At 40.9% G+C, this 16,936-nt stretch overlaps 1 long non-coding RNA gene across 5 annotated transcripts in view; it reads left to right on the top strand.

Annotated features, from left to right (window-relative positions):
* Nucleotides 1-16,936, top strand: part of LOC107985862 (uncharacterized) — a 63,638-nt gene that overhangs the window by 27,004 nt on the left and 19,698 nt on the right. For all 5 annotated transcript variants that reach the window (XR_001739388.1, XR_001739387.1, XR_001739389.1 and 2 more), the window contains exon 3: nt 15,546-15,637. This is a non-coding gene — a long non-coding RNA (uncharacterized LOC107985862). The remainder of the gene's footprint in view (nt 1-15,545; nt 15,638-16,936) is intronic.

Genomic DNA, 16,936 nt, shown 5'->3' with positions numbered 1-16,936 from the left:
TTTTTTGTAAGATTTTGAGAAGAATTGGTATTAAGTCTTGAAATGTCTAGCAGAGTTCAGCAGTGAAGCCATCAGGTCCTTGACTTTTCTTTAATGGGAGACTTTTTATTAGTGATTCAATATTCATACTCACTGGGCTTGTTGCATTTTCTATTTCTTCATGATTCAGTCTTGGTAGCTTGTATGTGTCTAGGAATTTATCCATTTCTGTAGATTATCCAATTTGTTGGCATAGAATTATTTACATAGTCTCTTATGATTCTTTGCATTTCTGTGATATCAGTTATAATGTCTTCTCTTTCATTTCTGATTTTATATATTTGACTCTTTGTTTTTCATAGTCTACTTACAGATTTGTGGTTTTTATCTTTTCAAAATCCAACTCTCAGTTTGTTGATTTTTTCCTGTATTCCTATCTTATGTATTTCTGCTCAAATCTGCATCATTTTCTTTCTTCTGCCAACTTTCTGCTTAGTTTGTTCTTATTTTTCTAGTTCCTTGAGGAGTAATGTTGTTTGAGATTTTTTCTTCTTCTTGATGTAGGTATTTATTGCTATAAACTCTCCTATTAGAACAGCTTTTGTTGTATTCCATAAATTTTGGTATGTTGTGTTTTTATTTTCATTTGTCTCAGATATTTTTAGATTTTCATTTTAATTTCTTCATTGATCCATGGGCTATTCGGGAGTATGTTGTTTAATTTCCATGTATTTGCAAACTTTCTAAAATTCCTCCTGTTGATGATTTCTAGTTACACTTATCGTGGTTGGAAAATATACTTGATATTGTTTCAATCTTCTTAAATTTTCGAAGGCATGTTTTGTGCTGTAACATGTGCTATATCTTACAGAATGTGCACTTGAGAAGAATGTGTATTCTGTGGCTGTAATGTTCTGTATATGTCTGTTAGGCCCATGTGGTCTAAAGTGCAGTTCAAGTCTGATGTTTCCTTACTAATTTTTTTTTTTTGAGAGGGAGTTTCATTCATGTTGCCCAGGCTGGAGTGCAATGGCATGATCCCAGCTCACTGCAACCTCTGCCTCATGGGTTCAAGCAATTCTCTTGCCTCAGCCTCCCAAGTAGCTGGGATTACTGGCATGCGCCACCATGCCCGGCTAATTTTATAGTTTTAGTGGAGGTGAGGTTTCACCATGTTGGTCAGGCTGATCTGGAACTCCTGGCCACTCCTGACCTCAGGTGATCCACCAGCCTTGGCCTCCTAAAGTGCTGGGATTACAGGCATGAGCCACCGTGCCCAGTCTCCTTTTTAATTTTTTGTCTGAATAATCTAGTCATTGTTGAAAGTAGGTTATTGAAGTACCCAAATATTATTGTATTACAATCTATCTCTCCCTTAAGATCCTTTAATATTTGTGTTATGTATTTAGGAGTTCTGATGATGGGTGCATATATATTTATAATTGTCACATCCTCTTGAAAAATTGACCCCTTTGTCATTATATAATGGCCTTCTTTGTGTCTTTTTACAGCTTTTGACTTAAAACGTATTTGTCAAACGTAAGTAGAGCTACCCCTGCTCTCTTTTGGTTTTCATTTGCATGGACTATCTTTTTTCATCTCTTCACTTTCAGTCTGTATGTGTCTTTAAAAGTGAGATAAGTTTCTTACTAGGCAGTGTATAATTGGGTCTTTTGCTTTTTTCTTTATATTCATTCAGTCACTCTATATCTTTTTGTTGGAGAATTTAATTCATTTATATCCAAGGTAATTATTGATAGGTAAGGACTTACTGCTGCAATTTTGTTAATTGTTTTCTGGTTGTTTTGTAGATACTTTATTTTATTCTTTCTCTTTTGCTGTCTTCCTTTGTGATTTGATGATTTTCCGTAGTGGTATGCTTTCATTCTTTTGTATGTTTGTTTTGTGCTTCTAAATGTTTCTGTCTTTTGGTTACTATGAAACTTATATAGAACATCTTATAATCTGTTTCAAGCCAATCATAGCTTAACTGTAATTGTATATAACAAATCTACAGTTTTAGCCCCCAATTTATGTTTTTGATATCAGAACTTAACATCATTTTGTAATGTGATTCCTTGACAATTTATTTTAGCTATAGTTATTATTAATTGTTTTGTCTTTTAGCCCTTATACTAGGAATAAAATTGTTTTCATCACCATTATTACAATCCTAGAGTGTTCTAAATAGGGCTCTGTTTTACTTATATCGTTGAATTTTGTGCTTTTGTGTGTTTTATGTTATCAATTAGAGGTCTTTTTTTTCAGCTTAAAGAACTCCCCTCAGCAATCTCTGCAAGGCGGGTCTAATGGTGATAAACTCTCTTAGATTTTGCTTGGGAAGGTTTTATTTCTTCCTCATTTGGGAAAAAAAAAGCTTTGCTCTGTCAGTTATTCTGGTTTGGCAGATTTTGCCCTCAGCAGTTTGAGTATATCATCCCACTCTCTCTTGATCTGCAGGATTTCTGCTGAGGAGACTACTAGTTGTATTGGCACTTCTTTAGATGTGATATATTTCTTATCTGTTGCTGCTCTCAGAATTTTTTCTTTATCTTTGGTTTCTGATAATTTGATTATTGTGTGTCTTGGTGAACTCCTCTTTGATTTGAATTTGACTGGAGACCTCTGCACTTGGTGTACCTGGATGTTGCCATCTATCCCCAGATTAGGGAAAATTTCAGTCATTATTTCTTCAAATATGCTTTCTGGGCCCTTTTTTCTTTCTTTGCCATTTGGAACTCCTGTTACATGAACACTGAATCTCTCAGTGGTGTTTCAAAATTCCTGTACTTTCTTCATTCATTTACTTTTTTTGCTTCTCTGCCTGGATAATGTCAAATATTCTGTCTTTGAGCACACTGATTCTTTCTTCTGCTGGATTGAGTCTGCAGTTGACTCTTTCTATTGAAGTTTTTAGTTCAGTCATTATATTTTCATATCTAGAATTTCTATTTTGTGCTTTTCTATTGTTTCTATTTCTTTATCTCACTTTGTGTATTGTTTTCCAAATTTCATTTAATTTTCTATCTGTATATTCTTGTAGTTCACTAAATTATTTGAGAAAATTGTTCTGAATTTTTTGTCAGTAATTTCATAGATCTCTATTTCTTTAGGGTCCATTATTAGAGCCTTATTAGTTTAATCATGAAAGTGCCATGATTCCCTGATTATTTTTAATCCTTGTGTCCTCTGCTTATTTGAGCAGACAGCCCCCTTTTTAGCCTTTACAGGTGTTCTTCGGCAGGGATGGGCCTTCACTGTTTAGCTTGTGATTCTGGGAGGACTAGCTGGTAATGACCTCTAGAAGTCAAAACTGTTTGTGAGTTCTTTAATTGGCTGAGTCACTGCTTTTGCTCTGATGTTGGGTGGGGCTTCTGCCTGGGCTCTGCTGTCTGGAAGATCACTGGCTGGGTTCTGAAATCAAGTGGAGCTGCTGACTGGGTACTGTGATGGCCTCTGGTCAGGCCAGCTACAGGATGTATTCCCTGGCTGAGTGATTCCACTATTTGGGATCTGTATTTGGACAGTGCTGCAGGCAGGGCTCTGAGGTTATGTGTAATTGCTGCTAGGGATAAGTTGAACCAGTCTATGCTCCTATAAATGCATAATTGTGGATTGTCTCCCTGTTAGTTTGGAGCTGTGGGGTGGACTTTTGGCTGAGTTGACCTGCTATTTGACCTCTCAGGTCAAGCAGGTCTATTCTCTATGCTTCTCCAAAAAGCACAGAGGTGAGTCTTCCTGCCTGGCAGGCTTGTTGCATTAGCTTTTTGACTGAATGAAGCTGTTGCTTGACTTACTGGGTCAAACAGATCTAACTCCTATATTTCTTTGAAATGGATGAAGGTGAGCATCTCCCTGCCTGGGCAGAATTGTTGGGGTGGGTTTGGAAACTGAGCATTGAGACTAGTCATCTATGAACTCAAGCTAGGTTGAACTTCCCACCATGCTTCTGAAAATGACCAGCTCAGCTTTGTGGGTGGGCTATGAAGTTGGCTGGTATCTTCAACTGAGCACCACAGGCCGGGTGCGGTGGCTCACGCCTGTAATCCCAGCACTTTGGGAGGCCGAGGCTGGTGGATCATGAGGTCAGGAGATCAAGACCATCCTGGCTAACACGGTGAAACCCCGTCTCTACTAAAAATACAAAAAATTAGCCGGGCGTGGTGGCGGGTGCCTGTAGTCCCAGCTACTCGGGAGGCTGAGGCAGGAGAATGGCGTGAACCTGGGAGGTGGAGCTTGCAGTGAGCCAAGATTGCGCCACTGCACTCCAGCCTGGGCGACAGAGTGAGACTCTGTCTCAAAAAAAAAAAAAAAAAAAATTGAGCACCACAGTTGGCAGAAATATAGAAATAACATTAAAATCTATACAGAGGTCACTGTGATCTATGTCTCTTTCTTTATTTCTACCTGACCCTAGGAAGTCTAGTCATGCTGTTACCCCTAGTGTTTTCCATGAGGTGAGACCAGAGTGGGACTCCTGGAAGTATCTCAGAATGCTAGAGAGAAACTGAACGATTGCCTCTGGTTCTGTTTTCCTCCTGTATAAGCTGTGGGTCCAGGGAATCCACTCCACCTGGCATTGTGCTGACTTGGGTGAGGATGAGGGGCAGTGCAGTTGAAATGAGACTATTCTTCTTTCTCTTCAAATTTGGTTTTCATCCAGTTCTGCAGACAACATGGTTGTCTTAGTCTTGTTTCCAAGTGTTGGAGTTTTTAAAAAGCTGTCTTGTCTGGACAGTTGCTAGTTGAACTTTCTGTGGGGAGGAGTAGAGCCTGAGACTTTCTATTTCTCTGTCTTGCTGCTGTTCAGTCTTTCTTACATTGCCTCTCTTACTTATACAGATAGAAAGTCTCCCAAATAGCAGATGAAGTGACCTCAGGGCTTTCAGATTCTTGTCTCTGAGTGTAAAGCATCAGGCCAGGTTGGGCATGTGTTGAAATGGGATGGGTTCCATTTCAGTCAGTCTCACACATGCTTCTTCTTGGGGGATGCCCCGATTGGAGGGTTTAATCTGAGACCGTCTAGTTGTGTTACATACCACCCTTTCCTATATCTAATCTATTGCTCTAAGTCATATGAAATTGTCAATCTAGGTTTGAAGGGCAGGATCAAGAGATTTCCACATGGTTAGATGAAAAAAATAAACAAAACCACACTTGCAACAAAACACCTTTAAAGTGGTTGGAACCTACTTGTGCTTTCTTTTCCTAGTAGTATCTGGAAGAGCCTAGCGCTTGTCTCAGACCCCACTGTGCTCTGTGAGGGACCCCTCTGCTCAGAGGACAGTCATATTAGTCCTCTTATTTGTCCTCTTATTCATTATCCCAAAGCCTTTCCACTAGCTTTGGGATAATGAAAGAGGGATCCGTAGTTATCCCTGTAAGTGGTAAGTGAAGGCAGATTTGGTGATGGTAGTGATAAGTGGATGGGATTGCCTTATTAATTTATTGATATGAGATATAGGTGTGTTTATGAAAAGCTGGCTCAGAAGCAAACATTAGGGATTAGAAATACTTTCCTGTTAATCTTCATAATTAAGCTAAAGACGGTTTTTCCAGTGGGACATTTTAACCCTGGAATAGTACAAATTAGACTTCCAAAAGCAACCCCTTAAAACATCAGCTAAGTGAAGGGAAAAATATGTTTTAATAAGACATCAATGAAAACCAGAAGTCACAACCAATCCATTCGATGATGAATGGAACATGTTGTATTAAAAACTGGGTTCCCTTGTGTCACTATGTTACCAGACTTCCAGTGGCTTAATGTTGCCTTTGTTGGCAACCTGGAGAATGTGGTTAAGAAGACTAATTTGGCCTGCAGAATCTAAGGAAACTTGACTGTCTTAGTTGTGCATGTTGGCACTGTGGAAGAAGGCATTGGGGCATCTCAAGTCTGGTTCCAGGGCTTAACAGTAATCAAATATACAAAGGTAAACCTCTCTCCCTGTGTCTCTCAGGTTAGCTGCTTTTCATAATATGCAGGAGAGCTATGATGGAGAGAGATAAGTCCTTAGTCATGATGAGTCTCCAAAAGTGACCTTTGATGCCAATGATGAGTGTCTATGAGGGAGGATTTACACATTAATCACATGAGCCTTGGGTTTGTACTGGCCACGCAGCATTTGAAAACCTCCTCCTGGGCCTGAGCTCCTGGTTCCTTGGCTCCAAGAATACTGCTTCAAAGTGTTCTCTGAAAGAACCAAGCATCACCAGAGAGGGTGAATGTCAGTATAGCATGGCACCCCTTTTGGAGTTTTTATCGTCCTCATCTTTTTATCAGGAATATAGAAGCAGTACAATTATAATATACAGGAACTCCTCACTTTGCATGGTTCCAATATGCATGAATTTCCACTAGCTAAATTTCTGTTATCATGGTATATTAGCTGTGAGTAATTGCATAAAGTATAAACTTTGCTGCTAGCAATTCAGTCCACAAATAACTACATAAATAACAGATGCACATCATGATCAGTGACTAATCACATCACTTTTTTCAAAGTAAGCTTATAATTGTTCACTGAGCTTCTGTTATGTAGTTCAGACACAGAGAGCAAAGCTCTCTATAGTTTTATCACTTCCTTGACTCTCAGTTATGTATCCATGTGATATTTTAAAAAATGGGAAATTGAAAGATGGAATTGACCAACAAAGATGAAAGTCCAGAAAAGAAAAAAGAGGTGATAACACTGGAAATTGAATTTAAATTGAACATAAATAGAATTGTAGAAGAAATGATTGTGGAGATGTTGACACTGCTGTTGTTTGCAAGACTCTAGATGTAAGTCTTACTGATACAGGAGATAGAAAGAAATTATTTGGGCAGGTAGTGAAGGTAAAAGAGTCCTCAGCAGGGCTTCTCTTTTTAACAAAAAGCATCCTCCCAAATCATTTCTTTTCTAACAAAGATCAGCCTTAAAAATTGAGCTGCAAACATAGATAAGCAAGCTAGAAGTTTGCACAGGTTTATGCTGGAATATGTGCCAGTAGAAAAGGGCTACCTGGAGGCCAGACATATCCAACATGGAGGTTCCATCTTCCCTTTTTTTTTTGTTACCACACGTGCAGTAAAAAAGCAGGCAACATGGTGCTGGCCAGGCAGAAGACCCATCTGCATAATAAAAGATTAGGGTGGGGGAAGCCAGCTTTTTGTGCCTTATGCAAATGGCACACCTAGCCCTAGCCAGTTTTTCACACCTTATGCAAATGGCACACCTAATCCAACCAATTTTTTGTGCCCTATGTAAATTAGACACTGCCTCCTCACCACACATCTATAAAACCCCCTGCATTTAGCCACGAATCTGGTGACCCATTTTTTGGGACTCCTCTCTGCTTCATAGAGCTTTTCTCTTACTTATGCCTATTAAACTTCTGCTCTTAACCTCACTCCTTGTGTGTCTGCATCTTGATGTCTTCTATCCACAGACTGCCATGTCTCCTATCCACTCTCTGTGTGCAATGCTGTGGGAATTTCTATGGTTCAGGGAAATAATCCTGTTAGGCAAGATCAGGAAATACTGCAGTAACTGGGAATATAGCTCAAGGGATTGCTGCTTTTGTGATTTTCTAGGAACCGAGGGTTTCCTCCCCTTCACCCATGAACGTCTCTCTCTATCCTTTCTCCTGAAAACACGTGGTATTTCAAGTCCTACAATGCCACCTAGTGGAATAGGAATCCTCTCCATGAGGCACATTGTCATCCCTTTGCCAAAACACTCAGTTTCCCAATTCTCCTCCCTTTTTGCACCCCTCTACTAGAGAACAGGCTTTATACCCCATCTGTGAATGGGAAAACTCAACAATGAGGAGAAAAATGTCCTCCAAAACCAAATTTGAGCCCCAATACTGTCCCATCAGCAGGAAAACCACCACTCAGTCCCTACATTCTTTTAAGGCACCTCTTCTGCCTTCAATTAAAATGGTACTTCAATAGTAAGAGGATATGTATGGAAGTTAACCAGAACCACTGCATAAGAATAAATACTCCAGTCCAGCCCATAATAGCAGAATGTAGAGCTTAACCCAGTAGACTTCCTCCATTAAGGGGCCTTGTCCAAATCTGGTTGTTGTGTAGTGTTTCCTGAGATCCATCTACTGGGGAGCCATGCAGATCACACAAGTGTAGGAAGTCAAAGGGAAATCACCAACAGAGGGACTAGAGCTGCATGGGTAAGCGTGACTAACTCCATATCTTAGTTCCTCTGGATCCATGGCTGAGGGTCACACTTGCGTCCACAGGTGGCACTTTTAATGTGTGCCAGGGCTCAGAGAACCAAGGAGGGAAAACAGTTGGGGGGACATCCCCACTGTCTTCCCTTCCACCCTGGACCATTCTAAAGGAAGGACGGGAATGAGGGACACCTTGTCTCCTGTATCTTTCTAGCCATCTTTAGTCTGCACACCTCTGGAGTACCTTCTGAAACAGTGAGACTACTTTAACCCTGAAACTTTGCTTTACACAAGGGCATGTCCTTCTTGCTAGACCTTTGAAGGCATTATGCAATTGACTCAGCTCTTAGCAGTCATATCATGCAGGCCCAAAGGGAGTGATTCCCCAAAACTAGAAAAGCAACTTCTGGGGGAATTATCTGAGGCAGCTATTGGGTGTCCCAGACCTTCTTGTCCTCTTTATTTGGAGCCCCCTCCAATTACACCATCAGCTCCTCCAGCTCCACCATCGTCAAAACTCTTCATTCCTCCAGCTTCACTCTTACCCCTACAGGAAATGTCCAATGAAGGTGTTGCCACTAGGGTTCAAGTTCCCTTCTCATTGCAGGACCTTAGGCAAATAAAGGGAGACTTATGCAGATTTTCTGATGATCCCAATAGGTATATAGACGCTTTCCAAAATTTAACTCAGATGTTTGACTCTCATGATGGGATGTTATGCTGCTGCCAAACCCTAACCACAGCTAAAAAACAGGCAGCTCTGCAGGCAGCAGAGAAATTCAGAGGTGAGCAATATGTCTCCTATAGTGGGACAAAAAGGAAAAGAGAAAATAGGGAAAATGAAGAAATAGGAGAATCATTATTCCCAATAGGAAGAGAGGCAGTAACTCTTGACAACCCTGATTGAGACCCCAGTGACTCCACAGATGAATGGGAGAGAAAACACTTTTTAATGTGCATATTGGAGGGCCTACAAGGAACTAGGGCCAAATCTCTTAATTAATCTAAATTGTCCATGATAGACCGGAAGCCAGATGAGAATCACTTGGCCTTTATGGGCAGGCTGAGAGAGGCGCTAATAAAACACATATCCTTATCCCCTGATTCAGATGAGGGACAGATAACACCAAAGTACAATTTATTACACAGGCATCTCCCAATATTAGAAGGAAACTGCAGAAGCAGGCTTTAGGACCAGACAGCACCTTGGAAAACCTCCTGAGGATGGCCACCTCGGTCTTTTATAACAGGGTTAAGGAGGAGGCCAAGGAGAAAGAGAAGAAACACAAAAGAAGGACAAAGGCTCTAGTAGCTGCTTTGCAGGCTTGCAAGATCCAGGATCCCTGAGGTGCATCTGCTAGTTGCTACCAGTGTGGCAAGTCAGGGCACTTTAAGAAGGAGTGCCCAGGGAGCAAGAAGAAGCCACCTCAACCCTGTTCAGCCTGTGGCAGGGACCACTGGAGATTGGAGTGCCCTTGGAGATGGAAGTCACTGGGTTAGGAGCCAGTCTCACAGATGGTCCAAAAGGACTGATAGGTTCCGGGGCTCAAAACCCTGGCACCAGCAGCTCAAACTGCCATTATTGCACAGGAGCCCCAGGTGATTCTGGAAATTGAAGGAAGAAGAGTAGACCTCCTTCTGGACATTGGAGTCAGCCTCTCTCTTTTCCTCTCTAATCCAGGCCTCCCCTCTTCCCATAGCATGACTGTGATGGGCATCTCAGGAAAGGTTCTAACCCAAAATTTTCCTCAACCTCTTAGTTTTAGTTGCGGGGGGGGTGGGGGGAGGCTACTATTTACACATGACTTCTTAATTATGCCTGAAAGTCTCACTCCTTTATTAGGTAGAGACATTTTAGCTTGCATGGGGTTGGCATCCTTATAGCCCTGGGACAGACTCTTTGTCTCTCCCTGGTGGAAGCTAATATTAATCCAGAAGTGTGGGCAACTCAAGGAAGAATAGGTTGAACTATAACTGCTAGGCCAGTCCAGATCCTTCTTAAGGATCCCACTTCTTTTCCTAACCAGAGAAAATATCCTCTAAAGCCAGAGGCTAGAAAAGGGCTAGAAGCCATTATTAATAACTTGAAAATGCAGGGCCTCTTCAAACCCTGTAACAGCCCTTTCAAATACTCCAGTATTAGGAGTGCAAAACCCCAATGGAGAATGGAGACTAGTTCAGTACCTCTGCCTCATTAATGAGACCATAGTCCCAATTTACCCAGTGGCCCCTAATCCTTATACCTTGCTGACTCAATTACCTGAGGGAACTAAATAGTTCACAGTCCTAGGTCTAAAAGTTACCTTTTTCTGTAGACTATTACCTCCTGACTCTCAATACCTGTTTTCCTTTGAAGATCTCTCTGGCCAAACTGCCCAGTTAACATGGATGGTGCTACCTCTGGGATTTTGACACAGTCCTCACTTGTTTGAAAAGGCACCATCAAAGGACCTTTCTGAGTTTTCGTATCCTGAGGTCAGAATCTTGCAATATGTAGATGACCTTCTGCTCTGTGTCCCAACTTAGGAAGCTTCTCAGGAAGACACAGAAGCTCTTCTTAATTTCTTAGCTGACAGAAGATATAAGGTTTCAAAGTCCAAGACCCAGCTTTGCCAAACCTCAGTAAAGTACCTGGGTTTAGTGTTGTCTGAAGGGACCAGAACATTAGGGGAAGAAAGGATTAAGCCCATTTCCTTCTTCCCCCTCCCTAACACCTTCAAGCAACTAAAAGGATGTTTGGGCATATAGGATTTTGCAGACTATGGATACCTGTGTACAGTGAGCTAGCTCACCCCTTATATCATCTCATAAAGGAGACCCAAGTGGCAAAAACTCATTTCCTAACTTGGGAACCTGAATCTCAAAAGGCCTTTAATCATCTAAAACAAGCCTTTCTTAAGGCATCAGCCTTCAGCCTTTCCGTAGGGAGGGCCTTCAATCTTTATGTATCAGAAAGGAAGTAAATGACCCTGGAAGTTTTAACTCAAGCTCAAGGACCAGCTCAACAGCCAGTGGCCTACCTGAGTAAGGAACTTGATTTGGTGGCTAAAGAATGGCCAGCATGCCTCTGAGCAGGGTTGCCATGGTGACCTTACTCGTACCAGAAGCCACCAAATTAAAACTCCCCTAGAAAATCCAGACTGGACCCTCTTTACGGATGGAAGTTCCTGTGTGGAGCAAGGAGTCCGTTAGGCAGGATATGTCGTAGTCACTCTGAATGATGTTATTGAAACTGCACCCATCTCTCCAGGCACAAGCACTCAACTAACTGAACTGATAGCTCTTACAAGAGCACTCAAATTAAGCAAGGGAAAAGTAACTAACATTGGCACTGACTCCAAGTATGCTTTCTTAGTCCTTCATGCTCATGCTGCCATCTGGAAGGAAAGGCACTTCTTTACAGCTAATGGGCTCTCTATAAAATACCATCAGGGGCCGGGCGCGGTGGCTCACGCCTGTAATCCTAGCACTTTGGGAGGCCGAGGCGGGCGGATCACGAGGTCAGGGGATCGAGACCACGGTGAAACCCCGTCTCTACTAAAAATACAAAAAATTAGCCGGGCGCAGTGGCGGGCGCCTGTAGTCCCAGCTACTCGGGAGGCTGAGGCAGGAGAATGGCGTGAACCCGGAAGGCGGAGCTTGCAGTGAGTGGAGATCGCGCCACAGCACTCCCGCCTGGGCGACAGAACGAGACTCCGTCTCAAAAAAAAAAAAAAAAAAAAAAAAAAAAAAAAATACCATCAGGAAATTAACAGGTTATTATCCTCTGTTTTCCTTCCACAAGAGACAGCAGTGATGCATTGTAAGGGACATCAGGGGGAACAGATGAAATAGCTGAAGGAAAAAAGTTAGCTGATCAGGCAGCCAAGTCAGCAGCAATTAAGCCTCAGGTTCTTAACACACTCAAAACCTCTCTAATCTGGGAAGGCTCTGTAAGAGAAATTAAGCCCCAGTACTCCCCTCCAGAAATAGAATGGCCATTTCTTGAGGGTACACTTTCCAGCCCTCAGGGTAGCTACAGTCAGAGGATGGCAAACTCCACTTGCCAGCCTGTAGTCAATAGAAAGTCCTTAAGACCCTCTCCTCTACCAAGCTTTTCACTTGGGAAAGGATAAAACTTATCAGTGTGCCCAGAGATTGTTTACAGGGGAGAACTTATTAAGAATAGTCAAATATGTTAATGCTTGTGAAGTCTGTCTTAAAAATAATCACCTCAACAGGCAGCTCCTTCCTCCTTAAATCCAAAGGATGGGAAGCTATCCAGGGGAAGACTGACAGATAGATTTTACCCACATGCCAAAGATGAAGGACATTCAATACCTCCTGGTATGGGTAGATACTTTCACTAACTGGGTAGAAGCATTTCCATGCTATACAGAAAAGTCGTCTGAGAATAAAAGTGTTAGTTAATGAAATAACTCCCCACTTTGGTCTACCTAAATACCTCCAAAGTGGCAATGGCCCCTCATTTAGGGCAGCCGTCACACAGGGGATCTCAAAGGCACTAGGCATACAGTATCATCTCCATTGTGCTTGGAGATCCCAGTCCTCAGGAAAGGTAGAGAAGACAAATGATATTATCAAAAGACACCTCAGAAAACTGTCCCAATAAACTCACCTTCCTTGGGTCACTCGTCTTCCCATGGCTTTATTGTGGGTAGGAAATACCCCTTCAAAGTTAGGTCTAAGCCCTTTCGAGATGCTGTATGGATGGCCTTTCCTTACCAGTGATTTTTTATTAGACCAGGAAACCTCTGAATTGGTTAAGCATGTAACCTCTCTGGCTCCCTTTCAACAGGAATTAACACAACTAGCAGAAGCCCAACCCCAAGAAACAAGGCCACCTTTATTTAACCCAGGAGATTTTGTATTGCTGAAAGCTCTCCCTTCTCTCTCTCCTTCCCTAAGCCCAAGCTGGGAAGAGCCCTACACTTTTCTTCTTTCAACCCCCTTGGCGGTAAAAGTTACAAAAATTGACTCCTGGATACATCACATTCAAGTCAAAGCCTGGAAGGCTGAGGGAGCAACTGCTGACAGCCTAGAGGAATGTCCCTGATATCAATGCAAAGAAATAGGAGATCTTAAGCTGAAAATCAGAAAAGATAAGTAAATGAGTAAGGGTTACTCATCCTACTAAGTCTCACCCCTAACTTATCAGATACTTCTGGTCATTTCTACATTTCCTCTCAAAATTCACTGTCAGATATTAGAACTTCTTTTTGGTGCATACTTGCAGGAAGATTTTGATTATCCATGGGATTAAATTTGTAAATTCATAAACCCCCCAAGGGAAATTCTATATCTTAGTCAGTAAAATTTTAGATGGAAATTATGTATTATGCCACTCTTGTGGGAACTGCTATACTCACTCTACTATTTGCAGTAGGACTATACACTGTGGCACCTGCAATGTGGAATTCTGGTTGCAAAATTTTAATTGCTGTAATATTCTGCCTAATTATCATGTTTGTAACAAGTAATTATATAATAATTACAGGAAAGATTTAGCCAAAATTAACACTAAAGTTACTCTAGCCACCCAATCCAATGTCACTTATCCTAAGAAAAACATTGCTTTTATATTAACGCTTCTGGTAAAGTACAGCGACATCTGGTGGAGGCAAACTAGTATTACAACCAATCGGAATGGCTAACAGCTGTCAAACCCTATTGTCATGGTTATGGCCTATACTACCCCCACTAATAATGGTAATCTTAATACTCATATTCGAGCCCTATATTCTAAATCTTCTTGTAAAATTTATCTCTTCTCACTTAGAAGTTATTAAACTCCAAATGGTGCTGCAGATGGAACCATGAATGGACACACCTTTCTTCTGAGGATGCTTAGATTGACCCCAGGAGGAGCCCTAGCTGTTTTTCCCCACACAACACCCCTTTTCAGCAGGAAGTAGCCAGAAAGAGTCGTCATCCAACACCCCCTAACAGCAGTTAGGGTTACCACTCCTGAGAGGGGAAATATGATAGAGGAGATAGAAAGGAATTATTTAGGCAGATAGTGAAGGTAAAAGAGTCCTCAGCAGGGCTTCCTTTTAAACAAAAAGCATCCCCCCAAATCGTTTCTTTTTTAACAAAGAGCAGTCTGAAAAATTGAGCTGCAAATATAGATAAGCAAGGTGGAAGCTTGCATGGGTGAATGCTGGAAGCTGTGCCAATAGAAAAGGGCTGCCTGGAGGACAGACATATCCAACATGGATGCTCCATCTTCCCTTTGTTTGTTACCACATGTACAATAAAGAAACAGGCAACATGGCACCAGCAGGCATAGGATCCAATTGCATAATAAAAGATTAGGGTGGGGACAGCCAGCTTTTCGTGCCCTATGCAAACAGCACACCTAGCCTTAACCAGTTTTTCACACCTTACATAAATGGCACATCTAGTCCAACCAATCTTTTTTGCCCAATGTAAATCAGGCACCACCTCCTCACCGGGCTTCTATAAAACCCCCCTGCATTTTGCCACGGATCCAGCAACCCATTTTTTTGGGACCCCTCTCTGCTTCATAGAGCTCCTCTCTTTTGCCTATTAAACTTCTGATTTTAATCTTGCTCCTTGTGTGTTCACATCCTTGATTTTCTTGGCATGAGACAATGAACCTCAGGTATCACCCCAGTCAATGAGGCCACTTCATTACCTTCACCAACGCATTAAACAGAATCTCACTCTATATCCTAAATTATGTGACGTGAAGAAGACAAGCACTATTCCAACTGTGCTTGATAAGTGGTTTTTTCAAAGAAATAAGACAATTCTCAATATTACTAAGGTTTTAAATTACAGTGTACTAAATAAATATTAGTTTTACTGTTTTCCCTCACCATTTTCCTATATATTCATAACCAACAGTAAGATAGTTTTTAATGTCTTCACAAAAAAATTTTAAAGGTCACAGAACAATTGTGATTTCTCCATTGATAATTAAAATTACTTTACAGGGTTTCAGCATGCACAGTCACTTTTAGGGTCCCGTGCTACGGTGCAAAGCAAGGACTGCTAATACATGCACACACACACAACACATACACACGCACACACCCCACTGGCTTTGATTTGCTGTTACAGTTAGGCCTTGAACAACATGGGAGTTAGGGGCACCAACCCCTACATAGTTGAAAATCTGTGTATAACTTTTCACTCTCCCAAAACTTAACTTCTAGTATCTAGTGTTGACCAGAAGCCTTACCAATAACATCAAAAGTCAATTAACAAATACTTTTCCTGTTATATGTATTACATACTGTATCCTTACAATAAAGTAAGCTAGAAAAAAGAAAACGTTATTATGAAAATCATAAAAAAGAGAGAATATGTTTACTGTATTGTACTGTATTTATCAGTATGATAAGTTTGTGTTATCTGTTGACAAGATGAATTATGTATCTGAAATGGCTGGCAACCTCAGCTGCAGGACACTTTGAGGAGACGGCTGATTGCAGATCTAGGGCAGAGAATGAATAAGGTAAGCCTGGAATGACATGTTTTGCAGAAAGCAAGTAAGCACTCAAAGACTAATGAGGTCATGTCAAAAGGACACAGGAGCCAGTCTGGAAAGGCTTCCAGTAGCCAAAGTTGGGACAGTTGAGGATCAAAAAGAAAAAGGACTATAAATGATGGAAACACATAAAACATGTAAAAATCAACCTGTCTTTAACTTTACTGAGAAAAATCCAAAACAAAGCAAAACCTTGCTTACTAACATGGGGGTCACTGCTAGAGCAACTTCTTACTCTAGATATTGGTAGCTAAAGAAAAAGAATCAAACACATAGTCTGTCTTTCCAGTAGGGACTGTGTATCAGGACAACCCCATAGTCCCAGTTTTTAAGGGAAAGCTCTTCCTTACTGAAGACTGTCTGCTAAAAAACAGAAAGCGGCAGAGAACTGGATTGTCACAAAATAGTCCCACTCAGACCTAGAGCTGATTCCAAGGGAAAAATGTAACTTTATATTGGAGGAATCTGATAATCAGCCTCTTAGTCATCAAATCAACATCCCTAATGGTGGCAAATGCAGATGACATGTGCTGTCTCTGGATGTTATGTATGGTGACTTATACAGCATCATCTATGAGGTACTCTTGCCTAGGATGTTTACCCAGAATCTAATTACACCTTTAGAACTAACTTCAGCTTACAGAAAATGCAGAGGATATAGGGAGAAAATGAAATAAAGCCATAAAGAAATTGATAAATCCCAAATGTGTCTGTTCTACAAGGCAGTTTAATTGTTTCTCCAGCAAGATAATAAAGGGAGGGGTTGTCTGTTCTTAATTAAAAGAGACTTAAGAGGCACATTAATCAAATGTAATGTATGGTACTTCATTGGACATTGGTTTGAATAAACACATTATAGAGCTCATTTTGGGGAGATCACTGGAAAATTTGAATATAGACTAGGTATTAAGTGATATTAGGAGACTATTATGAATTTTATTAGAAATAAATAAATTTTATTAGCAATAAATAAATAGCACAAAAACTTCCTTTTCAAGATGCATAATAAAATACATAGGGGTATGATATTGTAAGACAACATGTAAGATCTGTTATTTACTCTAAAATGCTTTAGCAGAAGAAAACTGAAAGGAATTAATATGGCAAAATATTAACAATTTTAAATTTAAAATGATGAGTATATGAGTGTTCATGATGCAGTTTTCTCCACTCTTCTTTATGTTTGAAACTTTCAAAAATAAAAAATATCCATTTTGAAACCAAAGATGTCTGATGACTAAAATGTCTGGCTGCCTGAGTGTGTTG

The sequence above is a fragment of the Homo sapiens genome, chromosome 2 (genome assembly GCF_000001405.40).
Source record: "Homo sapiens chromosome 2, GRCh38.p14 Primary Assembly".
In the NCBI taxonomy this organism is placed as follows: Eukaryota; Metazoa; Chordata; class Mammalia; order Primates; family Hominidae; genus Homo; species Homo sapiens.
Note: the sequence above shows the minus strand (reverse complement) of the source record. Positions and strands in the feature narration are given on the sequence as shown.